At 43.3% G+C, this 20,527-nt stretch overlaps 1 protein-coding gene and 1 long non-coding RNA gene across 8 annotated transcripts in view; one reads left to right on the top strand and one right to left on the bottom strand.

Annotated features, from left to right (window-relative positions):
- MYO16 (myosin XVI) overlaps window positions 1-20,527 on the bottom strand; it is a 712,290-nt gene that overhangs the window by 62,056 nt on the left and 629,707 nt on the right. For all 7 annotated transcript variants that reach the window (XM_011521062.2, XM_047430183.1, NM_015011.3 and 4 more), the window contains 2 exons: window positions 18,400-18,668; window positions 4,574-5,686 (listed from right to left, as the gene is read on the bottom strand). In XM_011521062.2, coding sequence (XP_011519364.1) covers window positions 4,574-5,686; window positions 18,400-18,668 — 1,382 coding nt within the window. The remainder of the gene's footprint in view (window positions 1-4,573; window positions 5,687-18,399; window positions 18,669-20,527) is intronic.
- Window positions 5,602-6,393, top strand: LOC124903208 (uncharacterized). The gene is made up of 2 exons (XR_007063865.1): window positions 5,602-5,706; window positions 5,831-6,393. It is a non-coding gene; the product is annotated as an uncharacterized LOC124903208 (long non-coding RNA).

Raw genomic sequence — 20,527 nt, 5'->3', positions numbered from 1 at the left:
AAATATTTTGAGTCTGATTTTCGTTAATTCGGCCTGGCTGTCTTCCACTTTCTTCTCCAGATTTCTGAGATGTACTGCATTTTTTGTCAAGACCCTGTCTTCCTGATCTTTTTCAGTGAGTAGAGAATAACATGCTCATGTGATTTCACTTTATTCTGGATAAACTCAACCAGACGCTGAGATGCCATTCAGAGCAATGGAGCACCCTAGTGGCCTAAAGGAGCCAAGGACTCTCATTCACCATTTGAATCGGGTCTCATAGTTTTTGAAACCAAGCAACTAGAAATAATTAGCATAATAATATTAGCCACATCATCACATGAGATGGAAAAAAATGTTGTGAATTAATGGGATCTTTATGTCTAGAATGGAACAGACAATTAAACATTTAGTCAATATTAATTTTAAGGGCCAAGTAGCCTAGACACTGTATCCCAGAATTATACATACCCATCATCAGTATAAAGTTCATTTGGCATTCTTGAGTTTATGGGAAAATTCTCTTCAACTAAACTCTTATGACTATTACTCGTTGCCCCTCAGTGAACAAATATTAATTTTAAAAGACTTTTTTTTTTTCTGTCTCTTTTTCTCTTGCTGTCTGAGCAGCATTGCATAGGTAGCTAGGGGAAGAGACTCTAGAGACAGAGTTACTGCACTCAAGTCATTCTCTGTCCCGCACGAGCACAGCAGCTTTGAGCAAGTAGATTAATCTCCCTGTGCCCCAGTTTTTCCACCTGTAAAATGGAGATAAGTGGAGAAGATGCCTTATAGTGTTGTGAGAATTAGATGACTCAGACAATGCCTGGCACAGTAAGCACTACAATTCCTTGCTGCAAATATTTCTTCTCAGACTGCAGTCACATCCATCATCTGCACAATCATATCTTTCTTATATGTGTGTCCACCACTCTTAGAATCTGCATGGTTTTGTATACTTCAAATTGCATATCCAAGAATCTATAGAAAATGAACTGGTTTGGGCAACATAGAATTTGTGAAATCCTACATATAAGGCTATGGAATAGTAATGGAGTAGAATTACGCAAGAAACAACCTTGCTTCCTATACACAACTCACTGTACATTATAGCACATTATATTTCAACCAGAAATAACTAAAGCAGTGAATTACTGAGCAGTTTAATCTCCTCGATGTCATTGTTCCAAACAGCCAAGGAGAACATTTTGAACCTTTCTGCAAAATTTGTGCAATAATTTTCTCCTATGAAAATTGAACAAAAAATGAACTTTAGTTAATTTAAGGACCCTGAAGGGTAAATTAGCCACACACTGTATTATTTGGTAAGAAAGCTATTTCACGGTGAAAATAAAAATGTCTTTAAGCATAAAGAAGGTAAAGTAAAAGATTTAAAACTTGAAAGAAATTCCATAAAAGTCATTGAATTCATTCAGAAGAAAATGGATTACTAACCTCAGGATCAAACTGTGTAAACTTTAATAGTCATATAACCAGCCCCAGTGCTGAGCACCAGCACTGAATGCTTTTCCTTCCATAGCTTATGTTTAACCTCTCCTACATTCTAAAAGAATGGCCTGAACTATCCATGAGAACATGATATCCGAACTTGTAAACTTATTTCCCTCATCACAGCCCATAAAGAATTATACATTTGGCCGGGCATGGTGGTTCACGTCTGTAATCCCAGCACTTTGGGAGGCTGAGGCGGGCAGATCACCTGAGGTCAGGAGTTCAAGACCAGCCTGGCTAACATGGTGAAACCCCATCCCTACTAAAAATACAAAAATTAGCCAGGCATGGTAGTGGGCGCTTGTAATTCCAGGTACTCGAGAGGCTGAGGCAGAACAATTGCTTGAACTTGGAAGGCAGAGGCTGCAGTCAGCCAAGATTGTGCCATTGCCCTCCAACAAGAGCAAAACTCCGTCAAAAAAAAAAAAAAAAGAATTATTATACACTTCTCAACTGTATAGTTAGGACTCCCATAATCTAACTACAGGGAGTTAGATTATGTACAGGGATGACCTGGTCTGGTATTGCTAAGTTTTCTATTACTACAGCAACTATGCCAAAGGCCAAAGTTGTCAATTCATGTATTTTTGAGAAAGTCATAAGTGGCTCAATCCAATCTTTTCAAATGATTGGATTTCAGAAAAGCCCACAATAAGAAAATAGAGTCTTATAATTATAGTTGAACTATGTTGTACTTGAGATTTTGATGTGTGTTCCCAAATACTGGTTAATACCACCACAGGGAAATAAAATTAGCAAATTTACACACTATGCCTGGAGGGCTCACTATAATTCTCACTATCCTCTAAGGAGTAGACTTTGGGATTTCCAAATGATGAGGTCTGTCTAGAAATTCATTAACTTCACTTCCTTGAATAGAGTCAAGAAGAACTCACCTTGTTCCTTTCTCTAGTAAAATGAGGTTCATGAGGTTTTAATAAACTTTTAGTTCTAAAAGCAAATATTAATTTGTTCATTTAATGATTTTCTCTTATCCATTTTGTTCCTTGGAATGAAACACGGTGTGTGAAATTCAAACATTCTGCTATTTAGAAGTACAATTTCATTTATTAATGGCCTATAATTAAGAAGAATCTGTTAGCTAAACAAACAATTAGCTTATTTGTCTGAAGAATAAATAGGGAGAAGGTTATTCATTCATTTTTAAAGTTTCTTAGCCTTGACCTACTTTTCACTTGTTCAGATTGCTTTCTAGATGTTCTAGTTTTTGTACCTAAAGTAATTTCGCTAATCAAATGATGAATGCTTACACATTTATGTATTTTCTTTTGGTGAAGGAGCAGGTTAATGCATGCATAAAGTGTTACTACACTGTAGGTCAAAGTTTACTTCCAATCCTACCACTTAACCCTAAGGAAGATATTTAACCTCTCCACCGTGAAGTTTTCCAAGTATGAAATGAGAATGCCCACAGTTGCCATCTACCCTGTGTTACCAGTAGAGGGTCTTGACTACAAGTTGTCCAGGTTCTTGGCGTTTTGAACAAAGAATCGGAAAAAACACCCAGCAAAGTAAAGAAAGAATGAAGCAACGAAAGAATGAAAGCAGGGATTTAACGACAACAAAAGTACACTCCACAGTGTGGGATTGGGCTGGGCAGCAGCTCAGGGGCGCAGATACAGAATCTTCTCGGGTCCAAATACCCCCTAGAGGTTTCCCATTGGCCACTTCATGCTCACCTCATGTAAATAAAGTGGTGGCCTCCAATCAGAGGCTGAAGTGAAGTTAAAAGATCACACTCCTGTGCAAACATCTGATTGGTTGCAAAAAGCAATGGAACAGAGGCTAAGGTGAAGTTATAGAGTTGCATTTGTACACAAAGGAAGACTCTGCCTGCAGTAAGTCTGACTGGTTGCGGACAGCCAATTTCCCATCTGTGGTGCAGAAAAGGTGGGGGTTTGCAGAGGGAGTAGCCTTGGGTCCTTTTGTTACTTAGGCATGGAAAATTATGATTTTCCTTTCAATTTAGTTCTAGGGAGTCGACATGAAAGGGCCTTAGGTTCCCTGCCTCCAGACCCTATCCTCCTGCCTCACCTGGAGGCGAGTGGGGGATCCAGTGCCATCATGATGGAAGAGACTGGTTATAATTTTCCTTAAGGAGAAGATCCTTTTCATCAATGAACTTCTTCCCCAAAATACACACCATTGAGAAAACATTTTGGTTTTGTATACAAACCTTAACATGTCTTTTGGAAGAGGAAGACATTCTTTGTGATTAAAGGAATCTGTGCAAAAGCAGTGCCTTTGGCACTGAGGTCGTGTCATCTGAAGGAAGAGCCATGTGGTTAGCCAGTTACAAAAGACTGGCAAAAAACGTCGTCATGAAAATCTTATTTTGCCAGGTACATTCTTCTACAGGGACACAAAATAAATGTTTTTGAATGCAGGCAACAGCCTGTCATGGAGCTCACTTGAGTGGACTGATTTCCACCTGCAAACCCCACTGTGGGCTGAGTCGCTGGATGAGAAAACACAGATAACGGGGCTGCGTTAGAGTGCTCCTTGGATGGCATACGACCAGAAGAAAAGCAGTTCATCCCAAACAGCCCACAGCCGAGTGGCATTAAGCGCAGGGTAGTAACTGGCTAGGTCAACATCCCAGACACCGCCAGGCAAAGCTAGATGGATGGCAAACCGCACGCTCGGGGATTAGCTGTGAACTGTACATCAAACGGAAATCGGCGATAGAAACATACACAAAATACCACTTTCACGTTATAAGGAAAAAATATTTTTTTAAAAAAAGAAATTAGTAGCTAACATTTAACCTTGCTCTGTCGAACATTTATCAAGTTATAATTTATTAAATCCAGTTGCGGTCTGCGTCTTTCTATATCACGAGCCTTTCCTATCATATTCTGCAATATGGAAATATTAATTCCTACCTATTTGGTCACAGTGGGTGTATACGATTTTTTTTTAAAGCTGATATCTGCTCTGAACGACCACGGCCATCACCTGAAACTTTACTATTTCACATCTGCGCAGACACGGATGTACACAGGTGCACGCAAGCACAGCGTCCATGCAAAAGGAGTGGGGGGATGTCTGCTCCGCTTACCTTCTGCTTCCCTGATTTTTCTTCCCGCCGCGGATTTCCGAAGCACACTCCTCCCCGAGTTGAAGAGGCTGGCGAGCTCGTCCAGGGGGCTGCTGAGAGGCCTGGAGCTGGGAGGGCTGTAGGGCGCGGGGGGCGAGGCACTGGAGCCGGCCTTCCTGGCGTCCGCCCTGGTGGCCTTCACGGGGGAATATGGGATCTTGGGGAAGGAGCTGCAGGGCCCGGCCACGGGGGCAGAGTTTGGCTTTGGGTGAACCTTGGGCGCCTCTGCGCTCGGCCCCGCTTTCCCCGCGTTCACCGGGGCGGGCTCCGGCGGGAAGGCCAAGTGCGCGCAGGGCCTGTAGGGCGCGGGGGGCGGCCCGGGCGGGGGCGGGGGCGGGGGCGGCGTGGACGGCGGGGAGGCTCGGCCGGACCCGTTGAACAGCGCCAGGCCGGGGGACGCGGGCCTGTCGCCGTCGCCCTTCTGGCTCTTGGAGTACTGCGGGGACAGCGGGCTCGACCCCTCCGGCTGCACGGGGTACTTGAGGTTGGTCTCCAGGACTGGCAGCTTCTTCACCTCCAGGGGTGTCAGGGGCGACTCGTCGGAGGCGGGGGAGCAGGTGACGGGGGTCGGGGGGAACACCAGCAGGGGCGGCCGGTGCGGCAGCAGGTTGGGGAAGGGCGGCGGGATGTCGCACGCGTCCCCTGGGGGCCCCGCCGCCTCGTCCTCCGGCGCGCGGTGGAGCAGGGGCGGCGATGCGCCGTGGAGCAGGAAGGAGCCCGCGCCCGGGCCGCCGTCGTCGGGCAGGCAACACTTCATCTCCTCGTACACGGACTCCCCGGGGTCCGGGCTATCGGGCCTGGCCGCGTGCCCCAGCATCTCGATGTACACAGGCTCGCTGTCGTCCTCGTCACCCGGAGGCGCCGCCGGGGGCAGCGCGCACTGCGGAGTCCCGGGGGTCAGAACGCGCGCTGCTGCCCCCGGGGCGCCCGCGGGCCTCGCGTCCCCGGGCCGGGACCCCGATATCTCCTCGTAGGAGCCGCTGAGCTTGGTGTTGGGGCTGCGCTTGGGCTTTCGAGGAGGAATCTTCTTCATGGTGCTGTAGTCGTCGCTGTGCGGTCTGGGCCGGGCCAGAGCTGCGGCAGGAAAGGACGCGGTCAGTGGGTGCCAGGCCAGGCCCACGGGTGCCCACCAAGCCCGGGGCTCGACTCGGAGGGAGCCACGGCCCCGTGCCCCGAGAATCCCAAGGGACCGGGCCTGCATGTTCCTCCACCCACTAGGCTCCCTGGCTGAACCCGAACTCCTGAGACCACCCCCAAGAAAAGAGAGTTTTGATCTTGGAGATGGAAGAAGACTCCCACCCTCTGAGGAGGTTGTCCAGTGGAACGTCAAGGGGTTCCAGTGAGGAAGGAGACCACCACTTCTGCTGCTACCCACCCACCCCCCTTGCCTAGTTTATAAGACAGGAGAAAAAGGAGAAAGCAAAAAGTTAAAAAGAAACAAAAGTAAAATAAATAGCCAGACGACCTTGGTGCCACCACCCGGCTCTGGTGGTTAAAATAATAATAATAATAATATCAACCCCCGACCTAAACTACTTGTGTTATCTGTAAATTCCAGACTTTGTATGAAGAAGCATTGTAAAATTTTCTGTTCTGTTAGCTGATGCATGTAACCCCAGTCACGTTCCCCACCCTTGCTCTATCTATTACGACCCTTTCACGTAGACCCCTTAAACTTGTAAGCCCTTAAAAGGGCCAAGAATTTCTTTTTCGGAGAGCTCAGCTCTTAAGACGCAAGTCTGCAGAAGCTCCCGGCCGAATAAAGCCACTTCCTTCTTTAACCTGGTGTCTGAGGAGTTTTGTCTGTGGCTGGTCCTGCTACACCAGGATGTCAGCCACCCATGGAGGCTGCGGAGGTGCGGTCCCTGGAGATGCAGTGGGGAAGTGACACTCAGGGATCAGGTGGTGGAACACACTTAGGTGTGGATTCTTAGGACCTAACAGGTGTGACATAAGGTATGGGTTGAACTGGTCCTTATGATTTGAAACCCAGGAGACCTGGCCAATTAACTATTAATAGTTAGTGGCATATGAAAGCTTACTGTCGGAAATGGGTAAGCGTGATTATTTAAATGATGTGAAATGGGCTGGGTGCAGTGGCTCACACCTGTAATCCCAGCTCTTTGGGAAGCCGAGGTAGTCGGATCATGAGGTCAAAAGATAGAGACCATCCTGGCCAACATGGTGAAACCCTGTCTCCACCAAAAATACAAAAATTAGCCGGGAGTGGTGGCGGGCACTTGTAGTCCCAGCACTTTGGGAGGCTGAGGTGGGCAGATCACTTGAGGTCAGGAGTTTGAGACCAGCCTGGCTAACATGGTGAAACCCAATTTCTACTAAAAATACAAAAAATTAGCTGGGCGAGGTGGCACGCGCCTGTAGTCCCAGCTACTCGGGAGGCTGAGGTTAGGAGAATTGCTTGAACCCAGGAGGCAGAGGATGCAGTGAACTGAGATTGCACCACTGCACTCCAGCCTGGCGACAGAGTGAGACTTGGTCTCAAATTAAATAAATAAATAAATAAATTAAATTAAATTAAATAAATGATGTAAAATGGACAAAACAAAAACACTTGTGTGGATGGAGAGACTTTAAAAAAGGACTTTGTTCAAATGTCAGGGAGGACAGGTTTTACAATCAGTACATTTCAATCCTTAACAAAAACACATACTCAACAGGGAAACCAAGAGAATAACATTTCCCTAAGAACTTTTCAAGGGGAAACTTCTGACGTTGAAAAAAGAAGCCATACTCAGAAAAACAAATGAGCATAATATTATTACAAGAGTGAATTTCAAAAGAGATGGAACAAAACTACTTAAATATAAGTTTAAAACAATTGAAAATTAAGTCAAAAAAGAAATTCCACAAGACTTCTTTTTCTAATGCTTTTACTGTAAATTATAATAATGTTTTATTAAATAAATATAATTTCACTGATAACAGAGATGTTAATTTTAGAAAAATTACCTCCAGTCTTAGAAATACCCAAACTCCCAAATCTTCAATTATTTTACTAAGTTGGTATTTTCTGTATCTGCAGGAATTCTTGATAGGGGCACATCTGCCTTTGTTGAGTTCTTGAGTTATTTAACTGAGGCAGCTGTATTCTTCCCTCTCTATGACTGCACATTTTGACATCAGTCTCTGTACCCAGTTTCTGGGAGACAATGAAGTCTAATGGTTAAAATTAAAGCTTTGGAATCAGAGGGATCTGGGCTCAAATCTCAGCATGACCTTTTATTCATTCATTCAGTCATATGCATTCAACCAGTATTTACTGAGATAAATTCATGAATAAAGAGAAGTTCCCTGCCCTCCTCTACCCTAGTGGGAACAGTCATACAACAACAAAAAAGGAAATACACCAAATGAGTGAGTTCTACAGTATGTTAGAATGTGATGCAGGCCTTGAAGATGAGAACCAACAGGCCAGGGTGAGGGTCACAGAACTGTGTGTGTTTGTGCTGGGCTTGGTAGGGCAGGGTTGTAATTTGAGAAGAGCTCCTGGGCAAAGCTCTCTGAGCCTTAGGGTTTTCATGCACAAAATGGTGATATGAGTATGTATCTCGAAGGAATAAAATAGATATTGTAGGGAAAGTGCTTCGCTCAGTTCTCAACACACTGTAACCAGAAAACAATGGGAATCATTCAAATGGGAATGGAAAAGAACAAAGGTAATTTTTGAACTCAATGGACATCTTTCTAAGTCAGTACTATACAGGGTTCCCCAAAGCAGCCAACTTTTAAGAATAGAAAGTACCCAAAGTGTGCAGTTCTCTAATTAATAAGCATTATTCCAGTTACTTTCAATGGGCTAAAACATAGCAGCCCCTGAGCTTCTAGAAAGTGAATGAAGCAACCCAATTTTTAACATTAAGATTACAGAGTTGCTCTGAAGATATGAATAATTTAAAGGATTTGTAAGAGATTGTATTTTCCAAAGCTGGCTTCAATAATATTTTCAGCGCCACATGCTCTTCCAGAATCTGGAATCGGGGAGGGTCTCTGTCTCTGCCCCAGTGAATACAATGATTAGAAGATGATGTTGCCTGCTTTCTAGGGCTGGGACAATGACAATACAGCCTCTGCCTGGCCCCCTCCTTCCCTTGGGACACATGTCTAGGTAGCCCTGACTTCCATGTACAGGCCTGTACACCCTGAAGCAGCCATGCTGTGGGCACTGTAGAGAGGCTACGTGGAGGTGAGGGAGAGCCAGAGGACTCCTATCTGCTCCAGCCCTCAGCTGTCTGGTTTCCCATCCCAGACACCAGAGATGTAATTGACTATGACTTCCAGTGATCACTATCTGACTGCAGTGATGAGAGAGGCTCCTTGAGAACTGCTCAGCAGAGCCCAGCGAAATACTAGAACCATGAGAGATATAATAACCTTTTCTTTGGTGTCTTAAGCTACTAAGTTGGAGAGGTTTGTTACATAACAATAGACAAGTCATAAAAACATTGGTACCTGGAAGTGGACTGCTGCTGTACAAACAAAAACAAAAACAAAAAAACCTTAAACTCTTTGAAGTTGCTTTGGGACATGGGAGGAGCTTTGAAGGGACCATCAGGGAAGCGTGGTGGCCTCAAGAAAGCTCTTGATGAGGCCTAAAGAACAGTGAGGAAGATGCTGGAAGCTGAAGGGAACACAACACTTCAGCCACAGTACAAAGTTTAGCAATAGTATCTCACCTACAGTCATGTGGAAAATAGAAAACAGAAAATGAACAGGGTGACATAGCTAAGGAGATTTCCAGGCAGTGTTAAAGTTGCCTCCTGGATTCTTCTAGCTGCCTAGAGTAAATCATGAGGATACAGAGATAAAGTAAAGAAAGAACTATTCACTATAAAGGAACAAGAACCTTCTGAGTTTAAAAATAAAATGGTCCTCACTGCCAGGCTCTTCAGATGGCAAATAATTTGAATGTTAAGAAATGACTTCCAGGCAGGCACAGTGACTCATGCCTGCAATCCCATCACTTTGGGAGGCCGAGGCGGGCAGATCACAAGGTCAGGAGTTCAAGACCAGCCTTTCAACAATATGTTGAAAACTGTCTCTACTAAAAATACACAAATTAGCCAGGTATGGTGGCACGTGCTTGTGGTCTCAGCTACTTGGGAGGCTGAGGCAGGAGAATCACTTGATCCTGGGAGGTGGAGGTTGCGGAGAACCAAGATTGCGCCACTGCATTCCAGCCTGGGCAACAGAGTGAGACTCCATCTCAAAAACAAAAAAAGGAAGGAAGGAAGGAAGGAAAGAAGGAAGGAAGGAAGGAAGGAGAAAGAAAGAAAAGAAATGACTTCCAAGCAGAAATAAAATTCAGGGAATTTTCAGAAAAACATGATCTAAAGATGAAGTCAAGCACACACTTATGAGACCCTTCATGAAGTACACAGAAAAAATCAAGGAGGGGCTTCATAGGTCTTTTCAAGGAAGCAAAACCACAGGTCTTCTAAGAATATCAAGGGCACTGACCCACGGAAGTACTCAGTGAGCTTCCAGATAGAGAAGAGATTATCTCAGAAAGATTTGTGGGTGTGGCTTTTGACTAATCAGGTGGATTATGAATTGATTCACAAGAAAGTCACAAAGCTTTTAAATGAATGTTATCAGTTTACACTGAAAGGAGCAGCCTGAACACAAAAATGAAGAAACTTTGGTCTCTCAAAATTTTGGCGAGGTGCAATGTGAGCCTGCAGTCCCAATTGCTCCAGAAGCTGAACAAGAGAATCACTTCAGGCTAGGAGCTCAAGGCTGCAGTGCGTTATGCTCATACCTGTGAATAGCCACTGCACTCCAGCTTGGACAACATAGCAAGACCTCACCTCTAAACAACAGCAACAACACAACCCTGATAAGGAAGAAGCAGGCTGAAAAAACTACTAGCCCCAAACATAAGTCACCTCTTGTGGATTGGGAATTATTAGTCAAAAAGTGGGGAACCAAGATTCCAGAACATAGACCTAAGAGCTACGGAAAATTATTTCCAGCCTGGGAACTGGACTAAATCCTCATGAAGGCATAAGCAACATGCATCCAGCTCTTGTTCATCCTCATGAAGGCATAAGCAACATGCATCCAGCTCTTGTTCACAACTGCTACCCACCAATGACCACTGTGTGTCGCCTGATCTCCCTCCTGTGTCTGAGCAGAAGCATGCATCAGTTATTCTCTACCTGTCCCTCTGATGCATTTTGCTTGTGTGGGGGGATCAGGCAACTTGTCTTTTTAGGCCACAAGTCTTCAGTTAGAAGAGGACACACTTGAGGCGCTGTCTCTCTCAGGAATCGTACCGGAGGCACCGGCACATGTGGATCTGGTTTAGACGATGCGATCTGGCCCTTGAACCTGAGCCAGATGAGATGATGAAGGAGGCTTTGGGGAGTCTGGGGTAGGGGTGAGTATAGTTTGTATGACAGAGGGATACAAATTGTTTTGTCCAGAGGGTGGACTGATACAGATGGTACTTTCCAACACCTTGGCCACCACAGTATATCCTTTCCAGAGGTAGAATCTGTTTCTCCTTTCCTAAACCTGGTTTGGTGTTTGGGACTGAGGTGATGGAAGGAACGTGGCAGAAGGGAGTTTGCTCACCTCCCAAAACTGGCTCCCTGAAAGCGATGCTGCATCTACTGCTTTCTCTCTCCCAAAGCACATGCCCCTGAAGCACTGACTCTCCCTGTAAGAAGTTGGATACCCTGAAGCTGTCATGCTGCCCAGGCAATGCAGAGAGACCACACAGACAGAGAGAGACACCCAAGGAGTCACAGTCCTCAGATGGCTGAGGCACCAGACATGCCCGTGACCAGCTTTCAGATGATTCCAGCCACCTTGCTGCATGAAGGACCGAGAGTGACAACTGCTCCAGTGATCTCTGTTGACACCCAGAGCCTGAGAGGGATAGTAAAACAATCACTACTTTATGTAAACCTGTAAGTTCTGGGTGGGTTGTTATGCAAAAACACATAACTGGTACAGTATTCCCTCAAAGTTTGATTCAGATGCGGTGAAGAGCCTTTTTGCATTAAACAATTATAAATAAAAGTAGCATGTTTGTTGGGAGGCTGTTGAGAACCTGACTCAAGGGTCCAAACTTGCCTATGTGACACAGGACAAGTTACACCATTGATCAGTGACTTAATGCCCTTCTCTACATAGGGTCATGATGACAGTCCTACTAGGTAGGGCTATTCTACAGATGAAAGATACTTAGCTTAATGCCTGCACATGATAAACATCACTAAGTATCCATCATGATCGACATTATCACCGCTACACAACCAGAAACTTACTGTGAGAGATAGAACTGTTCCTTAAAGTGTGGTCTGGGGTTCAGTAACATCAGATGACTAGAGTGCATTATCCTGTTCTACTCCATAACAATTAAAATGGAACCTCTGGGGGTCAGAACTGGAAATATTCATTCTTTATAAACTGAAATTAGAAAACCACAGTTAACAAATTAAAGTCTAATTTGGTTTGTGGCTACTTCCGGGTGTGTGTGCATGTGTACACGTGCTAAAAGTTCATTTGCAAATACTGGTTAGAGGGTTATTAAAAATGAATTTACATCAAGAGTTTTCTTATTTTTTTGTTCTAATATTGATGCATAAAATGTTTGCAACTACTTGATAAAGTCAATGAGATGAAGTAGGGAAGACAGTCCATGATCACAGAATACTTTTAGGGCAGGTTCTGGGATCCTAACAGTAGCTTAGGAGTTAGACTACATTCTGAAGCCATCTCATTACATCATAAAGTTGCCTCTTATCTGAACTGCTGCAGAATGATACGGACATGTGTGTCACGTTAGGAGATCAACATTTTCTCCTACAAAGTATTTTCCATTTGGTATTTTTGCTAAGGCATGTCGGTGACTTTTAAGTCATCTTCTGTGCATAAGTTATTTGGTCCCATTCTCACAAGAACAAAATACCTGCATAGTTAATCTATGAGAAAAAGGAGGAATGAGATGCTTGTTCATCCAAAATAAACAGTGTCTGCGTGTGTAACTCTCCTCCATTTTCCAACACTTCTAGTGTGGTTGTGCTAGTTTCAGAGCGAAAGCAAACATAGCACAGAGCACAGGACCTAGGACAAAAAAGATGCTTAATTAAGTGCCTGCTAGCTGACTGCTGAGGCTGCGTACATGAGTGGATGTAGGATAGATTTACAACCAGCTGCAAAATGGACAGAAAGGACTTCTACTGAGCTGTCATATGTCGCAACTTTGTTATAACTTTTCTTTCCTGGTGGGAGGAGCGGTTCAGGCAATACCATTGCCTTCCATGCCCCCATCTTTTACCCTCTTGACTGCACTACTGCACTCGATGCTGTTGGCATGCCCTTCCTGAGCCTTTCGCAGTTTCCACGGAGGGCAAGGCACTCTGTGGCCCAGTGTGCACCCATCACGTCCTCACTGCTGTGGTTGTGCTTCCCCTATAATTTGTTTGACCACTTATCTCTCCTACTGGTCTGTCAGATCCTCGGGGAGAATCCAGGCTCATGGAAGACACTTAATTACTATTTGTTGGATGTACAACTGCGTCATAGGTGGTGAACTGTGCAATTGTGTTCTGTTATTCCCAGTAACACATTTCTCAGAAGAGCAACACAGAAGACCTAATTTCTGTCCATTTAAAATTTTTTTAAAGGGCTTCTGTTAAAAATATGCAGACAAATCTAGCCTTGACACATTTCAAGGGTACTTCTCGAACCTTGCCAAATTGTGCTCCCTCTCATATACCGATAGGAAGCAAATTCTCTTTTAATGAAGAGAGTGTAGAGAAATAGATTTCTGTAACATGTATTCACTTGGTAAGTATTTGATGAGTGCTTACTATGTGACACATGTTGTTCTAGAATGAAGACAGAAACAAGAGAGTAAAGAAAAGACATATTATTTCCAAATTAAGCCACAGAGCTGAGCCATGATTGTGTCTACACATGTAAACTGTGTTTTGTGGAGAATGCAGTTGTACAGCAATTTTGGAAAAAACAATTATGGTTTCATTAAGGTATGATCCCCAAGGAGGGGACAGCTGGAGTCTGAAGGGAGGGTGAGTGTGGAAGCATCAACATAGAACGGTGAACAGTGAGGACTAGAGCTGCCTGAGAAAAGCTTGCTTCTGCAATTTCACCTTGAGCAACCGTCACTCCAAGCCAGGCACAGCACCACTGACATCATGACTTAATTGCAAGTCCCACATCTTAGGATTTAGTATCCATTTCACAGATGAGGAAACTGACTGTCAGAGGCTTCATTAACAACAAAGTTATATGCATGTAACTTTGCTGTGCGCTTGCTACGTCCTGGGCAATGAGGCTTTACAGTCCTTTGCTTCTTAACTCCCCAGAAATAGCCCTTGCCATGTCTCGGCTGTTGCTGCTACTTGACATACATGGGCTTGGAAAGACTGAGTCACTTCTTCAAAGTCACACGCATGAAATGCAGGCTTATATTTAACTTCAGTCAGGAGACAATTCGAGAGAATGTTAACCGTCTTTGGGAGAAAGGCTGCACCCGGTGTGTGAGGAATGAACTCTGCAGAACAGCACTCCAGCTGGGAGGCCCCAGCCAAGAGGAAGTGAAAACGAGGCCCTATCTTTCCTTTCCTAGCCACTATTTGCAAAGAGCAACTGCAGGCTTTTATTCAATGGCAAAAACCACAATTCCTTTTGCACTGACCTAACAAAAACATAGTACTTTTAAAAAGTTGTCTCAGCAACATGGCACATGCATACATATGTAACAAACCTGCACGTTGTGCACATGTACCCTAAAACTTAAAGTATAATAAAAAAAAAAGTTGTCTCTAGCTTGCTGGTAGTTTGCAAAGAAGTGTTAACATTTATTGGCCTGCAAAATTGTTTCACGCTTTTGAGGCACAAAGGAAATGAGAAAAAATTGCTCTCTGTACTGTTTTCCTTCACCACAACCATTTTTATTGGGTGAAGACCTACCAGGAAAGACATATGCTAGTAAGAACAAGAATAAATACAAAGACAACTTTGAAGTGACCGTGGTGCTGGTCACCCTACAATCCTTGGCCCTTGGTCTCCGATCAGATCTCCTTTCACTCTGTAACCATCTGAATTGATTCGCAGCTTTATTTGTAAAGGAAAAGAACTTGAACTTGATTTTTTAACATGCCAAAAAGGATGGCTCAGGTACAAAACCAACTTCAGCCGTAGTCCTTGATCCTGCGAAACCAAGGTTCACCAAACATTTTAGAATAGTGATCAAATGGTCTTCCTATCTTTTGACAGAAAGGAGAATAATTTTGTGACACGTTACTAGATGCAAAAAATTCAGTATCACCGCTTGGTAGACACACAAAGCATTTAGAATCAGGGTTGTCTAAGAGAAGCTTCGGTGATGATGGAAAAATTCTACCCCTGTGGCTACTGAGTACTTGGAAAGTGACTGATGATGGAGGAATGAAATTTAAAATTGTATTTAATTTTATTTACTCTAAACTTAATTGGCTACGTGTGCCTAGTGGCTACTGCATTGAACAACAAAGACTTAGATTATACTCGGATTGTGTTGGACTGAGGGAGATGTCTAACATGCTAGGATCAATTTCATCACTGTCCTAACTCAACCACCTTCAGCTCCTGACATAATGGCACAGAAGGGACCAGAACCCTGTCTGACAGCTGGCTTATCACGTGTGGGTGGAGCTACCTTTGCGATCATGGATTACAAACCCAGACCACTGACAGACTGAGTGGCTAAGCTCCTGCGCTTGCCCTCTCTGACTCCCTAATGCTGTAAAAACTAATCAGCAAGCATGCTCAAGCAGCTTAAGCTGGTTAATTGTCTTATTCTTAAAAATATACAGTATTGAGAGCACATGCCAGAATGCAGAAATACATCTCTAGTTGCAGGAGATCAAAGACTTTCTTTTTGTGGTGGTGGTTGTAAAGTAACCAGCATGAAGAATTATGTACTGTAAGAAAGAACAGATAATGTAGATGGTAAAAAGGAAACAATGCATACACTTGCCCTTTGACAAGCTTCTGAAAGGTCTGCTCACCAGGGTGCGACACAGTGGACCAAACGCATCTCTAAGTACCTTATAGTCACATATGAGACAAAATTAGGATCCAAGAAACTAAATTTTACATAAATATCTTGCATGCCTAATGCTATCACATGATGTATTTTGATAGCATGTAATAAGGAATTTAAGAGTTATGATAGCTGTCTTCTTTATTAATCTTTTTTGGGGTCACTTTGCTTTCATATTATGTGTGTGTATAGATATATACATATGTGTGTGTGTGTGTGTATATATATCTCCTATGGTTCCTAACTTTTATTTTAATTGACTTTTTTTTTTTTTTTGCTGCCCATAGGAGAGAGCTCTCTGAGGTCAGCTTCTTCCTATTTGATCCCCCTTCATAACATGTGACAAAGTGGTCCCCTCATTACTCCAGGGCAGTGGTGTTTTAAGGTGCACACAAACCTTTAGCTTTTTCTAGATGTTACAAGGTATTCTGAAGCCTATTTATGCAACTTTCTAGAGCCTGTTTGCAGGGTTCAAGCTCGGATGGGGCTCCATTCTGTACTTGCTGCAATTTTCAATCACATTTCATTACTGTTTTTTCAATGTCTGGTACTATCTGGAGTCTTAATTTCGTACCCTCTCCATCTTATCGGTCTTAGCATTTTAGATACCATCTTCCTCACGCAAGCTGCCAAAAATCTTTCTTGTTATTCTAATCACACCTTTTTGAGATATGGGCCGCAAATCTAACATGGAGGCCTGAAAGTAGGAACAGTGGCAACGGGACACTCCCCGCTTTCTCAGGGAGGGTGCTGGTGGCTCCCTCAGATCCTGGGCTTCTCCTGGTATATGTGGCACCGGGGGAGAATGCCTCATATCTTTGGAGGTCCTGTTCTAATTTATATCTAAGCCCACGTCAATGTCCACTTTGAAGACTTTCCTATGGACGATCTCATCTAATGTCGTTTTACAGATTTTCTTGTTGTCCTTATCACCAGGACTCTAAAGACAAACATTTGGACTCTCCTCCCCATAGTCTTAGGAATTTCTCCTCTGCTTTGATCTAAGCATTGTTGAAACATGGCTGATATACTAAGACAGTAACTTTTTGTAAGTGAAAAATATCCTAAAGGTCTATTCTTTCTTAATGCCACTAATAAAAAGCACTTTGAAGAGTGTACAGCATGGTGACAATAGTTAATGACAATATATTGTATTCTTAAAAAATGCTAAAAAAAAAAAAAAAAAGGCCTGGCGCAGTGGCTCATGCCTGTAATCTCAGCACTTTGGGAGGCCAAGGCAGGCAGATCACTTGAGGTCAGGAGTTCAAGACCAGCCTGGCCAACATGGTGAGACCCTGTCTCTACTAAAAATACAAAAATTAGCTGGGCGTGGTGGCAGGCACCTGTAGTCCCAGGTACTCCGGAGGCTGAGGCAGGAGAATCACTTGAACCCCAGAGGCGGAGGTTGCAGTGAGCTGAGATTGTGCCATTGCACTCCAGCCTAAGCAACAAGAGTGAAAGTCCGTCTCAAAAAAAAAAAAAAAAAAAACTAAAAAAGTGGACACTAAGTGCTCTCAGCACAGAAATGATAGCTGTGTGAGGCATGGATTTGTTAATTTGCTAGATTTAACCATTCCACAATGTACATATACTTCAAAACAACATGTTGTTCATGACAAAAACATACAATTTTATGTCAATTAAAAATAAATTTGAAAAAAAAAAAGAAGTTGGCTAGGATGGACTTACTGCTTCAGTCCTCTGCCCCATGTCTTCCTATTATCTTCTTGGTGTCAGTCATCCCAACGTTTGAGCTTATGGATTTGCTGTGTTTTTGTATTTGGGGTCATTTATTTACTGAAGGAACTGTGTTTCATCTTATGTTCTCAGATATTATTTTCTAGCGAGTTCTACCCAGCCGTTTCATTTAGAATCTCAACCTCTCTTCCATCCTGTACTACTACCCTGGGTCTATGTATTTCTCTCAGCAGCAACAATCCAGTTCTAAAGTATTTACTGTTGTATTATGTTTACCATCTGTTTTGCCGCACTAGAATGTAAACTCCATGAAGAAAGAGACAGACATGCCTAGAATAGAGCCTGATGCATAGCGGGTGATCAATAGAATCTGTTAAATTCTAAGTGTTCCGCTAAGAAGCACTTCCTTTATTTTTCACCATTCTTAAAATTAATATTTAAACAGTAATTGTCTCATTACTGATCTATGAGATCTGGCTGAGAAGAAACTGCTATGTTCCCTTTTGAGCATCCCTGTTTCTAGACAATGGATGCAGAAACTTTTATAATCTAGTCTCAAAAGTTTTCCTAACAGAAGTTTCCTGCACGATGACTCTCCTATGGGTAAATAATTTCACTTATCATATGATGAAGCAGTCTTAATTTTTTATTAGATTGTGATAACTGGAATGCCTGAAGCAGTTTTTTTTTTTTTTTTTTTACTTTCTCATTGGTGAACCTTTACATGGAATAGCTGCCGACTTTCTGAATTGATTTGATACTGCTCTTTGGAGGCAGGGTGGGGATGGGAGTTAAGGAAATGCCATGTAAGTAGCTTTTCCCTAAGAGGCTTAGAGATTTGAATAAATATTATTTATATTTAATGATTAAGAGCTGCTGGCAAGCCAACAATTGGATTTATTTCTATTAAGAATACATTAGGGCGACAGTACTGCCATGGGCGCCCCAAGGCGAAGTCAGAGCATGCGCGAGCCCGGAACACGAGGCTGGGTCCCTCCCCAGGGCTGACCTTCGTTGGCCGCTTCCCTGGCCGCGGAGAGGCAGGCGCTCACAGCCTCATAGGAAGCACTCAGCCGGGTGTTGGGGTCCCTCTTTGGCTTGGGCGGGGGCTGTTTCCGTGGAGACGGGAGGCTGCTGCTGTCATCCATGCTGAACACCGAGTGCAGCGAAGGAGACCAGATGGACGGGCCAACGAGGCACTGGCCCAGGCCATCCACGGCCGCGCAGACTGACATGGAGCTGGGGTGGAAATGCCTGGGTCCACTCTTGTCATCGGTTCTTAGGGGGAAACAAAACACAAACAGCACCACGCCAGAGAGGCCCAGATGCATTATTCCGGTAACAAGGAACCTGCTCAAGCAGACATAATGACGGCTTTTTGGCAAGCAGCCCTTCCTGCTGTGGCTGGAGGACGTGTGCAGCCCTCTGGTGACCAGTTGGTCCAGAGAAGGCCACCCGTCCTCTGGCTCCGGCTTTGTGATGAAAAGCACATGAGCCCGCGGGATATCCATCATGATTACTTTTTAAACATTCTCACACAAACGCAACACTACTTAAGGGCCTTCGCATTTTCCATCAGGCACTCACTGAATGAATTCTTCACACTCTGATTATTAAGCAAATCAAAAAACCAGAATTTCAATCTGAATGATAATTTCTGGCAAATCCATCTTAATAGAGAGTTACTGATGCATCAAATGCTGGGAGTTCATCACCATTTCCCCTCGCAAGAGGATAGACTCTACTTAAAACTCTCAGAAATTTACATTTCAGTGTTCTCCTTCTCCCCATTACTCTCTTTCTTGCCTCTTAAATTCTACCAGAAATTATTTAATTATGTGCAGAGCTATTATTTCTCCTCCTTGACTCCATATGGTTGTCCAGTGCCAAGTAAACTGCTGGTATTCAGTAAATAAACAGACAAATACTTCTTCACTTAATTTTGTATCAGGAAAATACATACATAATCAAATTGAGAAATTGGGGTGGCCGTTTAGTTCCAGCAGAGAAAATAATAAATATTATTTTGGAAGTCATATAAAATTAATAGTTATCTTGCTTAAAAAAACTTCTTCTGGCTTCGCATGTCAACGTAATCATGTGCTAGCAAGATGCCAATGCATTCATTCTACAAGGAGTTTCCAAGCGTTTGTTTTTATAATTATATCTTTCTGTGGCAGAACACCAACAGGGCTAGAATCTACCACAAGGCAGAGCCAGCCGCCCATGTAGAAAATGAAATAGCTGAAGATGAAAGCATGGCACTCAGTGGATAATTTGTTTTTCCTGTAATGTTTAATTACAGTCTTTTTTTCTGTACAAAGGGGATTTTTTTCAGTATTTAATCACTGAGATATTTGAAGCTAATTAACAAGATACACATTGCCATTTCCACTTTAATAAAAAAAAATTGACATCGGCAGAAATGGGAAAGGAGAGTCATTTTCAGTGAGAAACAACAAGATATTACCAAGTTTCTATAGCAAAACAAACATCTCCCTGACGATGAATTAAGGTCCAAAGGAAGCAGCTCCTTGCCCTCCCTCTTAGGGGTGTTGTGATTCACGGGTGTCTTCATCATTCACAGAGAGAGGAGAGTGATCAAATGGAGAGGGACCAGGTGATCGTCACATTTCTGTTTTAAGCTAAGCCTCTAAAGTGAACTTTTAAATACAAAGCTTTCCCCAAAGCTTGCTTTATTGGTAAAGAGAGACGTGACAGTTTACACAGGGATATATAATACACTTACAATCTATCTATTGAGTTCACTTCTTCCATGTTTTCAGAGTGGTATCTCCATTTTTTGGGTCAGATTTCCAGAAGTTTCTATAAGCCAGCCTTATATCCGTAACGCTTGTGTAAAAATGTCAACAGCCAAGCTATATATTTTTGCTAATACAGAAACAGTAAATGCTTTAGAACTAGAGTGTGCTTGAGGTAGTTAAGTGACACAAGCATGGCAGGAGAGGCAGTCATCATCACATATGAATGAAGGAACACAGAAAGCCTTGAACTCGTGAGAAGACAGCACAGGAAAGCATCTTTTTAGACTGCTGCCATTTCGAATAACAAACCACGCATGCCTGTTCCTGCAACTCCTGTCATATTTGATTGAACTCTGCATTAAGGGCTATTTG

This window comes from Homo sapiens, chromosome 13, assembly GCF_000001405.40.
Source record: "Homo sapiens chromosome 13, GRCh38.p14 Primary Assembly".
Classification (NCBI taxonomy): Eukaryota; Metazoa; Chordata; class Mammalia; order Primates; family Hominidae; genus Homo; species Homo sapiens.
The sequence above is the reverse complement of the archived record's forward strand: the minus strand, read 5'-3'. Positions and strand labels throughout refer to the sequence as shown.